Source organism: Homo sapiens, chromosome 22, assembly GCF_000001405.40.
Source record: "Homo sapiens chromosome 22, GRCh38.p14 Primary Assembly".
NCBI lineage: Eukaryota > Metazoa > Chordata > Mammalia > Primates > Hominidae > Homo > Homo sapiens.
In genome coordinates, this window is record NC_000022.11 from 35438790 (window position 1) to 35455284 (window position 16495).

Genomic DNA, 16495 nt, shown 5'->3' on the forward strand with positions numbered 1-16495 from the left:
TCCATCCATCCATCCATCCATCCATCCGTCCATCCACATATTCATCCATTCACCCATCCACCCACATATCCATCCATCCATCCATCCATCCATCCATCCATCTACATATCCATCCATCCACTCACATATTCATCCATCCATCCATCCATTCATCCATCCATGCATCCACCCACCCACATATTCATCCATCCATCTACCCACATATTCATCCATCCATCCATCCATCCATCCACATATTCATCCATCCATTCATCCGTCCACCCACCCACATATTCATCCATCCATCCATCCATCCATCCACATATTCATCCATTCACCCATCCACCCACATATCCATCCATCCATCCACTCACATATTCATCCATCCATCCATTCATCCATCCACTCACCCGCCCATCCACCCACAAATTCATCCATCCATTCATCCATCCATCCAAATATTCATCCATCCATCCACCCACCCACATATTTATCCATCCAATCATCCATCCATCCATCTACCTGCATATTCATCCATCCAACCACCCACCCATCCATCCATCTACCCACATATTCATTCATCCATCCATTCACCCACATATTCATCCATCTATCCATACATCCACCCACCCACCCACCCACCCACATATTCATTCATCCATCCACCCACATATTAATCCATTCACCCATCCATCCACTCACCCACATATTCATCCATCCATCCACCCGCCCACATATTCATCCATTCATCCACCCACATGTCCATCCATCCATCCAACAAATACTGAACACAATGTGTAGCAGGGACAAACTAGTTAATGTAACATACTTAGGTTATCTTCTTCCCTCCTTTCCTCCCTCCCTGCCTTTTAGGGAAGAACACTCCTTCCACCCCCACTCTGTCTTTTAGGGAAGAACACTAAACTTGGAATTGGAAGTCTTATGTTCTAATGCTTCCTCTATCACTTACTAACTCTGTGAAGTTGGGCATTTAATTTTTCTAAACATCTCTGAACCCCATTTTCCCCATCTGAAAAGTGGGAATGCTAATACTTTGCAAGACTGTTGTAGAGATGCAACCAAATAGTGTGCAGGCCTGGCATGGTGCCCAAAGCAGAGTGGGCACACGCAGTGTTGGCTGCACCCACCTTCCTTATACATTGATTGCAGAACATAGAAATGAACCTGAGAAGAACGTGAAAGTGAACCTGAAAAGAAAGGAAGAAATAAAAAAAATCATCTAGAATCCCAGCAGTTTCCTTAAGTTGCCTACTGTCAATTTTCCATTTCTCTCGTCCAAATTCACATGGAGACATCATTTTTACACACTTGTAATCAATTGTAGGCGGAGTCTGGGGTCCTAGCACTTCCCCTAACATCATCTCATGATACTTAGACTTTAAAAGAACCCTTGAGTAGGCCCTGTGATAAAGGATGTTAGTGAAAAAAATAATGAGAAACAGGGACTTGGCTTAGAGAAAGAAGCCTGCGTCAGATCAGTAGGCCCCCCTGGGGCTGTGGAAGCATGCAGAAGGTCCCTTAGGAAGTGATGTTGGAAATGGCCTTGGGCCAGCCACGTTATTTCTCTGGACCTCAGGTCACCCATCTCTGAAATGGGAGCATTGAACTGGCTGATCCCTGAAGCCCCTTGAGGCTCTGGGGTTCTAGGGAGTATGTGACCCCTGAACTGCCTGGAATATCTTAGGTATGCCAGGTGCTACAGGGGTTGAGAGGGGAGGAGGTACGGACCCTGCCTTCCATGTCCTTACAGTCATCTTGGGGCCATAAATTCAGGCCAGAAAACCCATTCAAGGACAGGATATAAGGAAGAACAGTATAGCATTCTACTGCAGCAATGCAAACTCCATTTGACCCTAATCCTGGCCCAGTTGGCCAGAGTGGAACTTGTGCTTCCAGAGGATCCGAGGAAGGCAGGGGCTGGTCTGGAGGCAGGCATGCATCTTCTTTGCCTCAGTGTCCCCAGAGTCCAGTAAAAAGTAAGATCCTGCCTGGGTGTGGTGGCTCGCACTTGTAATCCCAGCACTTTGTGAGGCCAAGGAGGGCCAATCACCTGAGGTCAGGAGTTCAAGACCAACCTGACCAACATGGAGAAACCCCGTCTTTACTAAAAAAACAAAATTAGCCGGGTGTGGTGGCGCATGCCTGTAGTCCCAGCTACTCGGGAGTCTGAGGCAGGAGAATCGCTTGAACCCGGGAGGCGGAGGTTGCGGTGAGCTGAGATCACACCATTGCACTACAGCCTGGGCAATAAGAGTGAAACTCTGTCAAAAAAAAAAAAAAAAAAAAGTAAGATCCCAGTGACCGTATGGTGAAGGGACCTTGCGTCCAAGGTGGGCCCTGCGCAGGAATGTGCGGGGAAAGGGGTTTGTGCAGAAGAGTCTGGAAAGCTTCCTCTGGGAGAGGCTGGAGAAGGGACTGGGCTGCAAAGCCCAGGGGACATGACCACTGTCTCCATCAGAGTTACAGGATGCTATATGGAAGATGGATTAGATGTGTGCTGGTGGCCCTAGGGGCAGGGCTGGGGCCAGAGGGAGGAGTGAGCTAAGGGTGGGCTCAGCTCAGGGAGGACAATCTCGCACTCATGGGCTCTTGGTTTGGGGACCAGAACAGCAGATGCTTGCAGGCTCTCTGGGTGCCCCCCCACCACCTCTACAGGCGCTGTGCTGAGTACTCTTCTATGTCAGTACCTATTATCCCTCACACAGCCCCATAGAGTAGGTGATTCCCTTGTGCTTATTTTACAGGTGTGGAAACAGGCACAGGCTAAGTCACATATTGGGAAGTGGAGTGAGTGGGATTGGAACCCAGGCAGTGGGTGTCCTGGCAGTGGGGGTATATGGGCAGAGGTGAGGGATGGAAGGGCAGAGGAGGACTGGGCAAGGTGATTCCTGAGGCCCTGTGGCTTCAGTGGCTTATCAGGGAAGGCTCCCTGGAAGAGGTGCCCTTCAGCTGAACCTTGAAGGCTGGGAAGGATCGATGGAGAGGAGCAGCAAGGGTGTCCCAGGCCAGGGAAGGAAAAAGCACAAAAGGCCTAGAGGTGGAATGTGGCATGGGTGTGAAGGTGAGGCCAGGACGAGTTGGCATGGCTAGAACTGCCTAAAGGAGATCCAAAGCCACAAGCCGGGCCTCTTGATCCGGTTCAGAGGCCCCTTCCCATTGGCCAGCCTGCGTGTTGCAACAGCATCCCACGGGTCCCTCCCTCTGTCCTTCCAGTCTCCCCTGTTCCCTTTCAGCTCCTCACCAATCTGGTCGAATCTAAATCTGATCGAGCTACTCCCTGCTCAGGAAACTCCCGTGGCTCCCCATTGCCCAAGGAGAAAGTCCACGCTCCCCTGCTTGGCGTTGTTTCCCGGCTGTCCTGTCCTTCACCCCCTGGCCCCACCTGACACCCCATGCCACCCGTGTATATTATACTCCAGTGCCAGCGGAAGGCCCACCACCCCCAGACACACCACTCACTTGCTGCCTGCCTGCTTGCGTGGTGGGTTCCTCCGTCTGCGCTTCTCTCTCTGCTCTTCGGCCTAGGGGGCCGACATCCATGGATGGAGAAGTGTGGCTACTAAAAAAGAAAAAAAAAAAAACATCACAAACTCAGTGGCTTAAAATAGCACACATTTATTCTCTTATGTTTCTATTCTCTTACGGTTCTGGAGGTCAGAAGTTCAAAATCAGCCTCACCGGGCTACAGTCAAAGTATGAAAGTGCAGGCAGGGCTGGTTCTTCCTGGAAGCTCTGGGGAGAATCAGTTTCCTCGCCTTTGCCAGCTTCCAGAGGCTGCCACATTGCTTAGCTCGGGGCCTCTAAGCCCGTCTTCAAAGCCAGCACCCTCCGATTCCCTCCCACCCTCTGGACCTGTCACCATCTCTCCTTTCTCTGGCTCTGCCTCCTGCCTCCTTCTTTAATGACTGTGATTACATTGGGCTCATCCTGATAATCCCCAAATAATCTCCCCATCTTAATTTGATCTCATCTGCACCTTTGCCATGGAAGGCGCCGTGTTCACAGGTTTCAGGGATTTGTCCATGAACATCTTTCCAGGCCACTACTCTGCCCCTGACAGGAGGCATCAGTGGGCTCTGTTTGTTTCCCATTGGGTTTGCCATGGAAACATTGGAGATTGGACAGTGGCAGGAGGATAAAGTGAGGGTACGTGTCCTTGGCCCCCTTCTCACGGGGTCCTAGCTCCTGCCCTGGCCTTTGGGTCCCCCTTCACAGCTCTGGAAACTGCATCCTCCTCTGGGCAGCCATGGAGATGGCTTTTGCTTTTCAGCCTGAGGACCACACTCTCCCTCTCAGCACTCCTGAGCCCAGCCCCGCACCTTCCTCGCCATTCCTCATTAAACTGCCACTCATTCGATTGCCACATGAGCATGAGTGAGGCGAGCAAGGTGCCCAAGGTGCAAAAAAATTTTTTTTACATGGAATCTCGATCTGTCACCCAGGCTGGAGTGCAGTGGCGTGATCTCAGCTCACTGCAACTTCCGCCTCCCAGGTTCAAGTGATTCTCCTACCTCACCCTCCCCAGTAGCTGGGAATACAGATGTGCACCACCACGCCTGGCTAATTTTTTTTAATTTTTAGTAGAGACAGCATTTTGCCATGTTGGCCAGGCTGGTCTCAAACTCCTGGCCTCAAGCGATCCTTCCCCCTCGGCCTCCTAAAGTGCTGGGATTACAGACATGAGCCAACATGTCTGGCGTCAAGGTGCAAAATTTGTGCAAGGGTTTCCTCTCAGGGCCACGCCAGTGCTGCGCCTGCCTCACCCTGGTCTGGCCTGTGAATCTTTTCCTGCCTGAACCTGCTCACACCCTTGGGCTGTGCCTTCTGCCTGGACTTCTCCCTCACCTTTCCACCTTTCCAAATGCAGCCTGCTTGGACCACCTTCTGGTAACAGTTCCTCCACTTCCAGCCCTGCAGCCTCCTGCACAGTGGGGGCCCAGAGGGGATGCTCTTGTGTATTCCAGTCTGCCAGGTGCTTGCACTTGTTTGTGGCTCTGCCTCCCGCACTGCATGTGAATTCCTCCTTCAGGATGGTGCCCCTTGAGCCCAGTGCAGGCCTCGGAGGGGGCCGTGGGCCGTAGACTTGGAGGGTAAGGAGCCAGAACACATGGTTTGAATCCCTGCCCTGCTGTTACTGGGTCTGTGATCTTGGGCAATTTACTTGGCCTCTCTATGCCTCAGTTTCCTTATCTGTAAAATGGGAGCAGGGATAGTTCCTGCCTTTTGTCATGGCTTTGATGATTAAGTGAGATGATGCTACAAAGGAAGAGCCTTGTGCCTGGCAGACAGTAAAGGCTCAATCCATGTTAGCATTGGTGCTGTGGTCATATGAGGGACTCAGGAAAGGTTGACTGAATTTATTAGAACTGACAGGCAGGAGAGAGAGAGAGAGAGAAGAGAACAGAGAAAAGAGAGAGGAAAGGGGAGGAGGGAGAGAGGGAGAGGAGAGGAAGTGGGGAGGAATTAATGGGTGAGAGAGGTGGAGAGAGGGGGGCTTGAGGCTGAGGAGTGAAGGCTGCCAGGTAATTCAAGGGGGAAGCAGAGAGAGAGCAGAGGGCGTTAGGCAGGGTCTGTGGACTTGAGTGAGAGCTGTTCCATCACCAGGTGCTGTCTGCAGCCAGCTGCTCTCAAAATAGCTGCCCTGCTGGGGCTGGGGCTGATGGAGGAGCAGGGCAGGGAACCCCATCTGGGCACATCCTGGATCCCTCCTGGGCTGTCGCGGCCCAGAGCTTGGCGAGGAGCCCCTGTGGCCTGTGACTCGTGGTTGAGATGGGGATTTGGAGGTCCCTCCTGTGGGGTCTGTGTGCGTGGTGGGCAGGGGTAGGGGAAGCTGCCCTGCTGGCCTGGGTCTGGGAGTATGCTGAAGACAGGCAGGTAATGGCCGTGATAATAATGATGACGTTTATGGCAGTGATAAGCATCATCATCCAAAATGAGGCAGAGGCCAGGCACAGGGGCTCATGCCTATAATTCCACTGCTTTGGGAGGCGGAGGTGGGAGGATTGCTTGAGGCCAGGCATTTGAGACCAGCCTGGGCGATGTAGCAAGACCCTGTCTATAGAAAAAATTTAGAAAATGAGGCAGATGCAGCAAAGTTGCCCACGCATGCTCCCCTCTCCTTCTTCCTCTCTAAAGAATGCCAGTTATGCTCATGCAGCCCAGTGAACGCACTCACCTCCCAGACTCCTCTGCGGCCAGAGCGACCCTGTGACCTGCTTCTGGCCAATGAGATGGAGGTGGAAGCTCACCAGGTGGACATTCTATTTGGAAACCGAGAGCTGGGCTGTCCAGAAAGAACATAGACTGTGGGGTCACACCAGCCTGGGGTTGCTCCCCAGCTCTGCCATTTCCTAGCCATGGGAACTTCCTGAGTCTCAGTTGTCTCATCTGTGAAATGGGAATAAGCGTGACCTCACAGGTGGACACACCTGAGGGCAGCTGCTCCTGACACGGACCCTGGCATGTTTCAGAATCCTAATGGGCTTTCTGGGCCATTAAGGGAAAGTGTAACCTGTGTTAGATGCATTTGACTATGCTTTTTTTTTTTTTTTTTTTTTGAGACGGAGTCTCATTCTGTTGCCCAGACTGGAGTGCAGTGGCTCGATCTCGGCTCACTACAACCTCTACCTCCTGGGTTCAAGTGATTCTCCTGTCTCAGCCTCCTGAGTAGCTGGAATTATAGGCATGCACCACCACACCCAGCTAATTTTTGTATTTTTGTATTTTTTTTTTTTTTTTGAGATGGAGTTTCACTCTGTTGCTCAGGCTGGAGTGCAGTGGCGCGATCTCAGCTCACTGCAAGCTCTGCCTCCTGGGTTCACGCCATTCTCATGCCTCAGCCTCCTGAGTAGCTGGGACTACAGGCACCCACCACCATGCCTGGCTAATTTTTTGTATTTTTAGTAGAGATAGGGTTTCACCATGTTGGCCAGGATGGTCTTGATCTCCTGACCTCAGGTGATCGGCCCTCCTTGGCCTCCAAAAGTGCTGGGATTACAGGCATGAGCCACCACACTCGGCCCTGCATTTGACTATGCTTTGAAGATGTTTTAGCATTTGGTCCAATTCAGCTGAGTAGATAACTTTTCCTGATACCCGATACTCAGAAAATTGGAGTGACCTCCCAGATGGTACTTCTCAGTCGGGTCATACTGCAACCTGTGTTCTTTGAGGTCAGCAACACTGCATCTGGTTTATCTCCACATCTTTCTGCTTAGCCCAGTGCTTGACACATAGTGGGCATTTGCGCCCATATTTACAGAGTGAGTGGATTGGTCTCTATCTGTTCAGCAAGTGCTTCTCTGTGCCAGGCTCTGTACTGAGTGCTGGAACAAATCATCCCAATGAAAAAACTCAGCATAATGATGGATGAGGCTCTGTGTGTTCTCCTCTGGTAGGCATATCCGAATTTAACAGGAAGTAACGTCTTGAGCAGAAGGAACAAAGCAGCCCTAATAAGGGTATGTCAGGGTGTTGCGGGGAGAGGTGTCCCTGCCATGATCCTATGAAAGTGGGTCATTAGAACAAGGCCCTGGCTGGAACATTCTAGCACTGGGATTCCCCACAGAGGAAGCCAAGTGTCCAGGTGTAAATGAAAGGGAAGCCCTCTCTCCTGACTCTAGCACTGTCTCTCACACCAGCCATATGTAAGACTTTGTCTAGTACCCCCATCGCTGTACCTCCAGCACACAGAGCTGCTGCGCACCCTGGAAGTGAATGAGCGAGTGGACGAGCAGATGACTCAGAGGCCAGCTCACAGTCTCGTGGGCGAGGCAGACAAGAAACAACCAAGCAGAATGCCCCCAGTGAGCACTACGGCATGTGGAGGGGAACAACCGGGGCGCCTGCAGGAGGGAGTGGCTGCCCGTCCGCAGTGGGAGGAAGGAGTGAGGAATGGAAGCCTCCCTCAACTCTGCCCGCAGAATTTTCCAGATTGGCTTCTCCTCTAGTCCTGGACTCACCGCACCCCCTCACCTTCATATTTCTCTCATCTCGGTTCCCTGAGCATCTTCATCACCCAAATCCTTTCTGAGAGTCTTTTCTGAATGGGGGGGTTTGTTCTAGAGATTCTAGTTCCCTCCGCAGAGACAAGTGCTCCGGTCACCAGTGTCCTGCCCCAACTGCCCAGGTGGGTCACGAGGCCCCTGCATGAGCCAAGCCCTCCGGGGGCCTCAGCATCACCTGTACCCTAAGGCATCAGTCTGCTCTGCCCCGACTCCGGGCAGCGGTCCGCGCTTCTCTAGGACAGAACCAGCTCAGGGACGGCAGCTAGAAGACCAGGGGTTCAGCCCCAAGGCTGGTCCTGCTGGCCCTTCCTGGCCGAGGGCGTGCAGCATCAGCCTCGGGCTTCCCGGCTCTGGGTGGGAAACCTGCGTCCCTCTCGGTGTTGCTGTGAGGATTCGACATGAAGCTGTGTGGGAAAGTGCTTTGTAAACTGCAAAGGGTGGAACAGATGGGAGTGTTACTCTCTGCGCTCCTTCCCCGACGGGTTTGGGGGTTCCCAGCCCACATGAGGGTTCTGCTGCCTGCACAAGAGCCCCTTGTTCCTTCTGGGTTTGAGTGACACATGGCTTAGCGATGCCCGAGATTGTATCTGTAAGGAGTCCTCTCTCATTCCTGGGAGAAGGGTGTGGGGCTTATGGACTTTTTGTTGTTGTTATTTTATTTATGTATTTATGTATTTATTTATTTATTTATTTTTGAGACAGAGTCGTATTCTGTTGCCCAGGCTGGAGTGCAGTGGCACGATCTTGGCTCACTGCAGCCTCTGCCTCCAGGGTGCAAGGGATTCTCCTGCCTCAGCCTCCCGAGTAGCTGGGACTATGCACACACATCACCATGCCCGTAATCTATTTTTAGTAGAGACAGGGTGTCACCATGTTGGCCGGGCTGGTCTCGGACTCCTGACCTCAAGTGATCGGCCTGTCTCCGCCTCCCAAAGTGCTGGGATTACAGGTGTGAGCCACCACACCTGGCCAGCTCATTAACTCTTAAGGAGGAAACCGTCCACAGCCTTCGGGTTGGGGCAGGCAAGGAGCGGGGCTGGGAGAGACCGGGCAGCAGCGTGCTCTTGTGAAGCTGCTTTATGCCCTTAGCCCCCTCAGTCTTCACAGATCCTGCCTCCCCGAGTCCACTCAGGGAAACGGGGCCCCTGGGGCCTGGCATTGTGCCCAAAAAAATCCAGGGGAATGACCCAGCAGGTTTGATAAAACTACAAGAAACAACAACGCCCTTTCCCTGGTTTCTCCCCAGGTGGGGAACTGTCCCCTCCTCCCACACATGCGGTGTCTCATGTCTGCTGATGTTTACTCTGAAAATGAGACCGGAAACAAGGGCTTGGGGGAGGAGTCAGCATGAGGACCTCAGGGCCGGACTCTCTATGTCTCAGTTTCCTCTTCTAGAAAATAAGAATGATCAAAGCGCCTGCCTCGTACAGTGGTCATGAGGATCGAACGAAGAGAGCTATGTGGAGAGCCTGGCCTACGGGAAGGCGAAGTTGGCTTTAGCTATGTCTTCGTCTCTGCTCATTCTGGGGTCCCAGCCTCCTTTGTCTCCCTCTGGACCGTGGTGGGAGCTTCCCCACTGGCCCCCTCTGCAGAGTCCTCCCCACTGCCATCCCTCCCCTCTTCCAGCAGCTGGAGTCATCTTCCCAACCACATGCCAGACCCTCCACTCCTGCTAAACGCCCCACAAAACATCATCGTATTCGTCATTCACTCACTCAGCACACATCTGAAGTTCCGCAGTGCCCCAGGCCGGGCATCAGACCCCGAGGATGCAATGGGGAATGAGACAGACAAGGGTCCTGGCTCTCCAGGAGCATGCATCCAGCCTGGTGTGGGAGAAGACAGCGATGAGGAGACAGAGGGAACTGAGGGAGGTGTTAAGTGCTGGGCATTGGTCATCTATTATCATAATAATGCCACAAACGAACACCCTCCAGGTTTAGTGGCTTCAAACAACACGCATTATTCTCACTCTGAAGGCTGTCTGTTGAGTGGGGATCAACAGATGGAGTGACTAGACCGGGCTTAGCTCCAGGGCTGCTTCCTGGGCCTCTCATCCATGGACCACTGGGCCACCTGGGACTTGTTTGTCCCATGGTGGTGGCAGACGGGCAAGAAGTGAATGGGGACCTGTAATGCCCAGCACTGGGACACTCACTTCTGCCCACATTCCATTGGCCAAAGCAAGCCTCATGGTCAAGTCCAGCATCAGTGTGGTGGGAAAGGACACCCTGCCTCTGGTGGGAGATGAGGCAAAGCCACAGGAGGAAAGGGGGGTTGTCAGCAGGGCAGGTTGAAGAACTAGGAGCAGGAAAGCAACCCGTATGGGCTTTGCAGGAAACCGAGGGTACTGAGATGAGGACTCCCTGAGGCGTCTGCTTCTCAGGGCTGGTCAGGGTTGGCTTCTCTGAGCCGCTGTCACTCAGGCCTAGAACTGAAGGAGGAGGAGAGCCAGCCATACAGTCAGGGAAGAACGTTCTAGGCAAGCACAGAAACGAAGCAGAAATGAATCGCTGTGTCTTTGGAACTGACAGAGGCCCAGGCTCCTTGCCCCTATCGTGTCTCTGCACTTAAGTCCATGCTGAGTACCCCAGCTATGGCCTCTCTGTCCCAGCCATGGCCTCTCTGTCCCTGCTGTGGCTTCTCTGCCCCAGCCATGGCCTCTTTTTCCCAGTTGCGGCTTCTCTGTTCCAGCTGTGGCCTCTCTGCCCAGCCGTGGCTTCTCTGTCCTGATTGTGGCCGCTGTGTCCCAACCGTGGCCTCTTTGTCCCAGCTGTGGCCTCTCTGTCCCAGCCGTGGCCCCTCTGTCCCAGCCGTGGTCTTTCTGCCCCTGCTGTGGCCTCTGTGCCCCCGCCCATGCTGACATGTGGCAGTTTTCCGGCACCTTGCTCTGTCCTATTACTGGCTTTGGCTATGCTCTATGCTCTGCCTGGAAAGCCCTTCCTCTTTCTTGGGCCAAATCCTACTCATCCTAAGATTTATATTTTTATTCTTATTTTTTTTAGAGACAGGGTCTCACTCTGTCTCCCAGGCTGGAGTTCAGTGACACAATCACTGTTCACTGCAGCCTCAACCTCTTGGGCTGAAGTGGACCTCCTGCCTCAGCCACTGGAGTAGCTGGGGCTACAGGTGTGCACCACCATGCCCAGCTAATTAAAAATCTTTTTTTGTAAAGATGGGGTCCTGCTATGTTGCCCAGGCTGGTCTCAAACTTCTGGCCTCAAGCAATCCTCCTGCCTCAGCCTCCCACAGTACTGGGATGGTTGGGCCTTGGGCTGAGAAGGAGACAGGGAAGGGTGCTATAGGAGCTGTGTGATCCTAGGTGAGCTGTCTGACCTCTCAGATTTGTTCTCATCAACAGAATGGGGATAATGGAATCTGCCTCCTGGGACTGTCACGAGAATTAGATGAGGGATTTTGGAAAGAACATGGCCCACGGTTGAGTTCCGGAGAGGCTGCTTCCTCTCTGGGCGACCTTATTCCACTTCTCTGATCTTGAGTTTCCCAATCTGCAGAACAGGGGGAAGGAAAACTGCCCCCGGGACTGCTGGCATTAAATGAGATCGTGCCTAGAAAGCCCTCGCAGGAAGACCCCCTCCAGGGTCACACACCTCTCTCTTTCCCTCCCCTGTCCCTTTCCCTCTCCCCTCCTGGGACAGACTCCAGGGGAGGAAGCGCTGTCTCTAAGTGGGTGAGGACTCGCCCAGACTCGCCCGCCTGACTCCGCCTGGTTTCTACGTTGCCACCCTTTTGCCACCAAATGGCCACCTTCAGGGTTGGCCCTTTCACTCCCACTGGAGAATCCAACCGGAGCCACAGTCACTGACCAGGGACTTCTGAAGACAGGAGGAGCATCGAATGAGAAGATCCAACCAACAACCCGGTCCCCACGGCAACACGTTGACACTGGTCCTCTCCACCTGAGGCCTCGTCTGGGGCTCCCTACATCTTCAGAAGTGGTTCTACTTTTATGCCCCATTTGTCAATGAGGAAAGAGTTGGGAATCCAGAGAAAAACCCGGGTCCATCTGACTCCAAAACCAGCACTCTGTCCGCTCACGCTTTTCCATGTCAGAGGGCTGTGTGTGTTGAGGAGGGGTCTACCCACTCCTTCATCCCCCAAGCCCTCAGGAAACAAAGAGAGTCCAGCACATAACAAGTGCTCAAGTGGTTGTAGATGAGCAAGGGAATGAATGATGGACAAGCAAGTGAATGAATGAATGCACTTGTGGAGTCCTGCTGTCCTTTCTTTCCCGGAAACTCCCTCTTTCCCCTCCATGCTCTACCCCAAATGGTGTTCACCTCACCCACCATTGCCCCATCCATCCTCCCCTCTCTGCAGCCACCTTGGGCCAACAATAGATGGGACTCCTCCCATCACCTACAGCCCACTTGCAACCTCAGGATGCTTTGATGGGGTTGCCTTGGCAACTGTAAGTTTCCAATTGAAGCAAAAAGTTCCTACCAGGGTTTTCGATGAAGAATGACGGGAGAACCAGCAGAGAAGGTTGCCCAGGCAACGGGAACATTTAAGTCAAACTTTGCGGGTCTCAGTGTGGGGAGATTATCCTCAGCAAGGCGAAGAGATCGGCCCCCTTGCCAGGCGGCTCTGCCAACGCAAGCTGCGCGTTCATGGAGATGGGGGAGGCCCCCAGCCTAACCTCAGCCGGCCGGTTGTTTCTGACAATTATTGATCTGCCATCTCCAGAGTTCTCTGACTCATGACAAGCCCCAGACGGGCCTCGAGCCTGGCAGTGTCTCCAGGTCGACCAGGTGACTCGAGAGGGGGCTTTGTGCCCTCATTTATCTCTGTGCCGGACCCAGGGGTTGGGTTTCTCTCAGTTACTGCCTCACTTTGCCCCTGTCTTTGTTAACTCGTCTGTCCTTTGTCCCCCTGCAGAAGCAGACATGGGCCCTCAGCATATGATGTCAGCGGCTCTGGCGCCCAGCTTTGTTAGCAGCGGTTCCTGAGTGGGTAAAAAGGATGAGCCCCTCTCTCTAGGGAGAAGGAAGGGAGCATGAGAGGCGGGGAAGCCCTGAGGCCTGCGGGTGGTAAGGAAAGCAGCTGGGATCTGACAGACAAGGCTGATTCCAGGGAATCCAGGCCCTGTGGCTTCTGCAGGGGACTGAGACCCCCTGGGGCAAGATCCCCTTTCAGGTGCCTGATCCTGCAGGGTGATGGGGTGGGAGGGTCTTAGACGCACCTGGGCCCCCACCTGCCCTGTGCTATCTCAGCCCCTGGCTTCTGCCCTTTTTTCTTCCCTCTCCTGCTCCCCTCATCCATGTGTAAAAACCAGGCACCCAGAAAACGAGTAGGGTGAAACTTGGTGCCTGCCTTTACCTGCAGGGGGCTTGGGCATCACTTGACCTAGGCCTCCAAGACTCTGCCCTCCTCCCTGGTCCTCCAACAGCCTTCAGCTTCGTCCAGCACCCAGCCCTTTGCACCTGTGGAACCCCCTGCCTGGATCACTCCACCCCTCCCCACCCCCACGCAGGCCTCGACCACACCACTTTTCTCCACCCTCTTTATGGCAGATGTCACACCCTGGAACCGTGTGGTGTTTCTGTTGTCTGCCTACAGTAGGACGTAGGCTCCACGCCACAGGGACTCTGGCTTCCTGGTCGGCCACTTTGTGTCTGGAGCATGGAGCCGGGCAGGTGCCCGGCAGATGTGTGTTGAATAAACAGGTGGGTGGCCGCCTCACGTTCCTCCACGGTAAAGTGACGCTAAGGATCATAGTCACCTCTGGGCTACATGAAATACCATGCGGAAACGTCTGGCAGCGGGCAGGGCAGGGCAGGGCACTTCACTTTCTGTACTAGCTGTAAAGTGAGAAAGAAGCCCTTGGCACTGGAAGCCTGGCTTTTCGTTGACTCTGCAGCTCCTGGTTAGCCCTGTGTGTGAGTTTGTGTTAAATAATCAGTCCGACTCCTCCGCTGGGGTGGTGGTGCCAGTGTGGCCAGTTCTTGTGCAAATAGAACATTTTCAAGATAGTTCTGCCACTTGTACAGCACTCTACGTGCTGTAGAGTTCAGCCCTGAGAGAGAGGGACAGGATCCTGTGTGTCCCGTCCGCCTTGCATGTGGGTCTCACCAGCGGCTTCCTTCATGTCACTCTGGAGCACTCTCACCCACCCCGAGAGGAAAGTGCCGCTATCCCTGCTTTGCAGATGAGGAAACTGAGGCTGGGAGGCATGGAGAGGGCTGCTCAGGGTGAAGCTGAGGGCTGAGATGCTATCTGTGCAGCTCAGGGGCAGGGGGAGGGTGACGGCCTCTTGCTGTCTGGGGAAGGGGCTCTCACTGGCCACTTCCTCCCTCCTGGCTTCTGCCCCTCTGTTCCCTGAAGACCTCAGCCTGCCTGTCCATCCTGACACGACACGGGCCTGCCCTCCCTGCAGACACGCAGCCTCCCTGGGTCCAGGCACAGACACTGGGCCTCACAGAGCCTGGACCTGAGTGCTGTCACCTGTTTTATGTCACAAGTCTGTGTTTCCAGACAGGACATCAGAGAGACAGAGGGACAGAGATAGAGAGACAGAGACAACGGGGCTGAGCAAGCGCGTCAGAGACAGGGACAGAAATGGAGACAAAAGACAGAGAAGGAGACACTGACAGAGTGATTCAGAGAGACACAGAGACAGAGACAGGGACAGAGAGATAGAAACAGAGACAGAGAAAGAGACAGAGGGACAGATACAGAGAGACAGAGATGGGGTAGAGCATCAGAGACAGAAAGGGGCAGAGATAGAGACAAGGCAGAGGAGAGAATGACAGAGTGAATCAGAGAGACAGACAGAGATAGAGACATAAATAGAGACAGAGAGATAAAGACAGAGACAGAGGGACAGATATACAGAAACAGAGACAGGGCAGAGCATCAGAGACAGAAAGACAGGGAGAGAGAGAGAGACAAAAGGCAGACAGGGAAGGAGAGAATGACAGAGTGAATCAGAGACAGACAGACAGAGAGGGACAAATATAGGAAGACAGAGATAGAGACAAAAGATATATATATATATATATATAGAGAGAGAGAGAGAGAGAGAGAGAGAGATAGGGAGAGGGAGAGGGAGTGGGTCCTGGGAAAGAGGCAGAATCAGAGATGGATGCAGAGACAGAGATACTTAGGAAGGGGTGTCTGGAGACTTCGGGGGACAAGTCTCCACCTGGCTGCCACCAGCCCGCTCTCCTCTTCCCTCCTCAGCTCTCCCTCCTGTCAGGACAAGCAAAAGCATCAGAGACAGAGACAGACAGAGATAGAGATGAAAGACAGACAGAGTTGGAGACGGCGATAGAGTGAATGAGAGAGAGACGGCAGCATGTGTGAGGTCGGTGCTGGGAGAGGGGTTTCTCCCCTTCTTTCTGCTTCCCTCCTCCTCTCCCCAACGCCTTCCCCTTCACCACCTTCCTGGCTCCCTCTGCTCCCCTTCCAAGTCTGCACGTTCTCTAAGGCTTCACGTTGTCTCCAGGACAGGGTCCTCCTGGAGCTCCTGATGGGTAAATATTTACACCACAGGGGCGTCCTGGGGAAATTTGTTGCCCTCTATTAAACAAACACATGCCACTGAAGAAAAGAGCATCCTCCGAGCACCTCCCTTCTCCCCTCCCCTCTCTCTTCTTTGGGCTGCAGCAGGCGGGGGCAGTAGGAGCTTTCCAGGGGCTCTGATGGGATGGACAAGACTGGACACCAAGGTCTTCATCGGCAAGAGGTTCCTGTGACACAGACATGACACCCCACAGCCTGCAGAAGGTGGACACAGTCAGGAGGGCCCCCCTGGCTTTGAGAGCAGACGGCAGAGTCCCGTGAGGAAATCTTGGCTTAGCCTCTTCCCCACTGTGTGATTTTGGACACCTTCCTTGACCTCTCTGAGCCTCTGACCTTCTGCCGGACAGTGCTGACTTGCAGAGTTGTTGTAAGGTTTGGAGATCATGGATGCAAAATGTCTCCAACTAGCCTAGCACGTGCTGAACATCTGGCTTCTCGGCCTCTGCACTGTGGACATTTGGGCCTGGATAAGTCTCCGTTGTAAGGGGCTTCCCTGTGCTTGCAAAATGTGGAGTAGCACCCCTGGTCTCCACCCACTAGATGCCAGTAGCATCCTTCAGTTGTGACCACCAAACATGTCTCCAGACATTGACAGATGTCCCCAGAGACAAAATTGGCCCTGGTCGAGAACTACTGGAATAATCATAGTTTATAATAATAGTTTATAATAATAATAGATTATTTATAATAATCTCCTCTTCCCTCCTCAGCTCTCCCTCCTGTCAGGACAAGCAAAAGCATCAGAGACAGAGACAGACAGAGATAGAGACAAAAGATAAAAGATAGAGACAAAAGACACAAAAAATAACAGATTATTTATAATAATTATTTATAATAATCTATTATTATTAATAGTAAGAATGATTTTTTTGAGACGGTCTTGCTCTGCCATCCAGGCTGGAGTGCAGTGGTGCAATCATGGCTTACTGCAGCCTTGACCTCCT

General features: G+C 53.1%; 1 protein-coding gene across 2 annotated transcripts in view, besides 3 other annotated features; it reads left to right on the forward strand.

The window, feature by feature from the left end:
• MCM5 (minichromosome maintenance complex component 5) overlaps positions 1-16242 on the forward strand; it is a 54892-nt gene extending 38650 nt beyond the window's left edge. The window contains exons 17-18 of one of the 2 annotated variants that reach the window (XM_047441366.1): positions 15210-15333; positions 15636-16242. In XM_047441366.1, coding sequence (XP_047297322.1) covers positions 15210-15305 — 96 coding nt within the window. In that variant the 3' untranslated portion in view covers positions 15306-15333; positions 15636-16242. The remainder of the gene's footprint in view (positions 1-15209; positions 15334-15635) is intronic. The other variant, XM_006724242.5, reaches the window with a different exon arrangement.
• Positions 9188-9247: an enhancer, noted in NCBI's record as "active region_18909". NCBI's record gives its function as "activates an Ori minimal core promoter by ATAC-STARR-seq in GM12878 lymphoblastoid cells {active_cell/tissue: GM12878}" and the evidence as "EXISTENCE:reporter gene assay evidence [ECO:0000049][PMID:35858748]".
• Positions 9283-10249: an enhancer, noted in NCBI's record as "NANOG-H3K27ac-H3K4me1 hESC enhancer chr22:35844065-35845031 (GRCh37/hg19 assembly coordinates)". NCBI's record gives its function as "activates a minimal SCP1, AML or CMV promoter by ChIP-STARR-seq in naive H9 embryonic stem cells {active_cell/tissue: H9 hESC(naive)}" and the evidence as "EXISTENCE:reporter gene assay evidence [ECO:0000049][PMID:30033119]".
• Positions 10250-11215: an enhancer, noted in NCBI's record as "H3K27ac-H3K4me1 hESC enhancer chr22:35845032-35845997 (GRCh37/hg19 assembly coordinates)". NCBI's record gives its function as "activates a minimal SCP1, AML or CMV promoter by ChIP-STARR-seq in naive H9 embryonic stem cells {active_cell/tissue: H9 hESC(naive)}" and the evidence as "EXISTENCE:reporter gene assay evidence [ECO:0000049][PMID:30033119]".
• Positions 16243-16495: the final 253 nt, after the last annotated feature.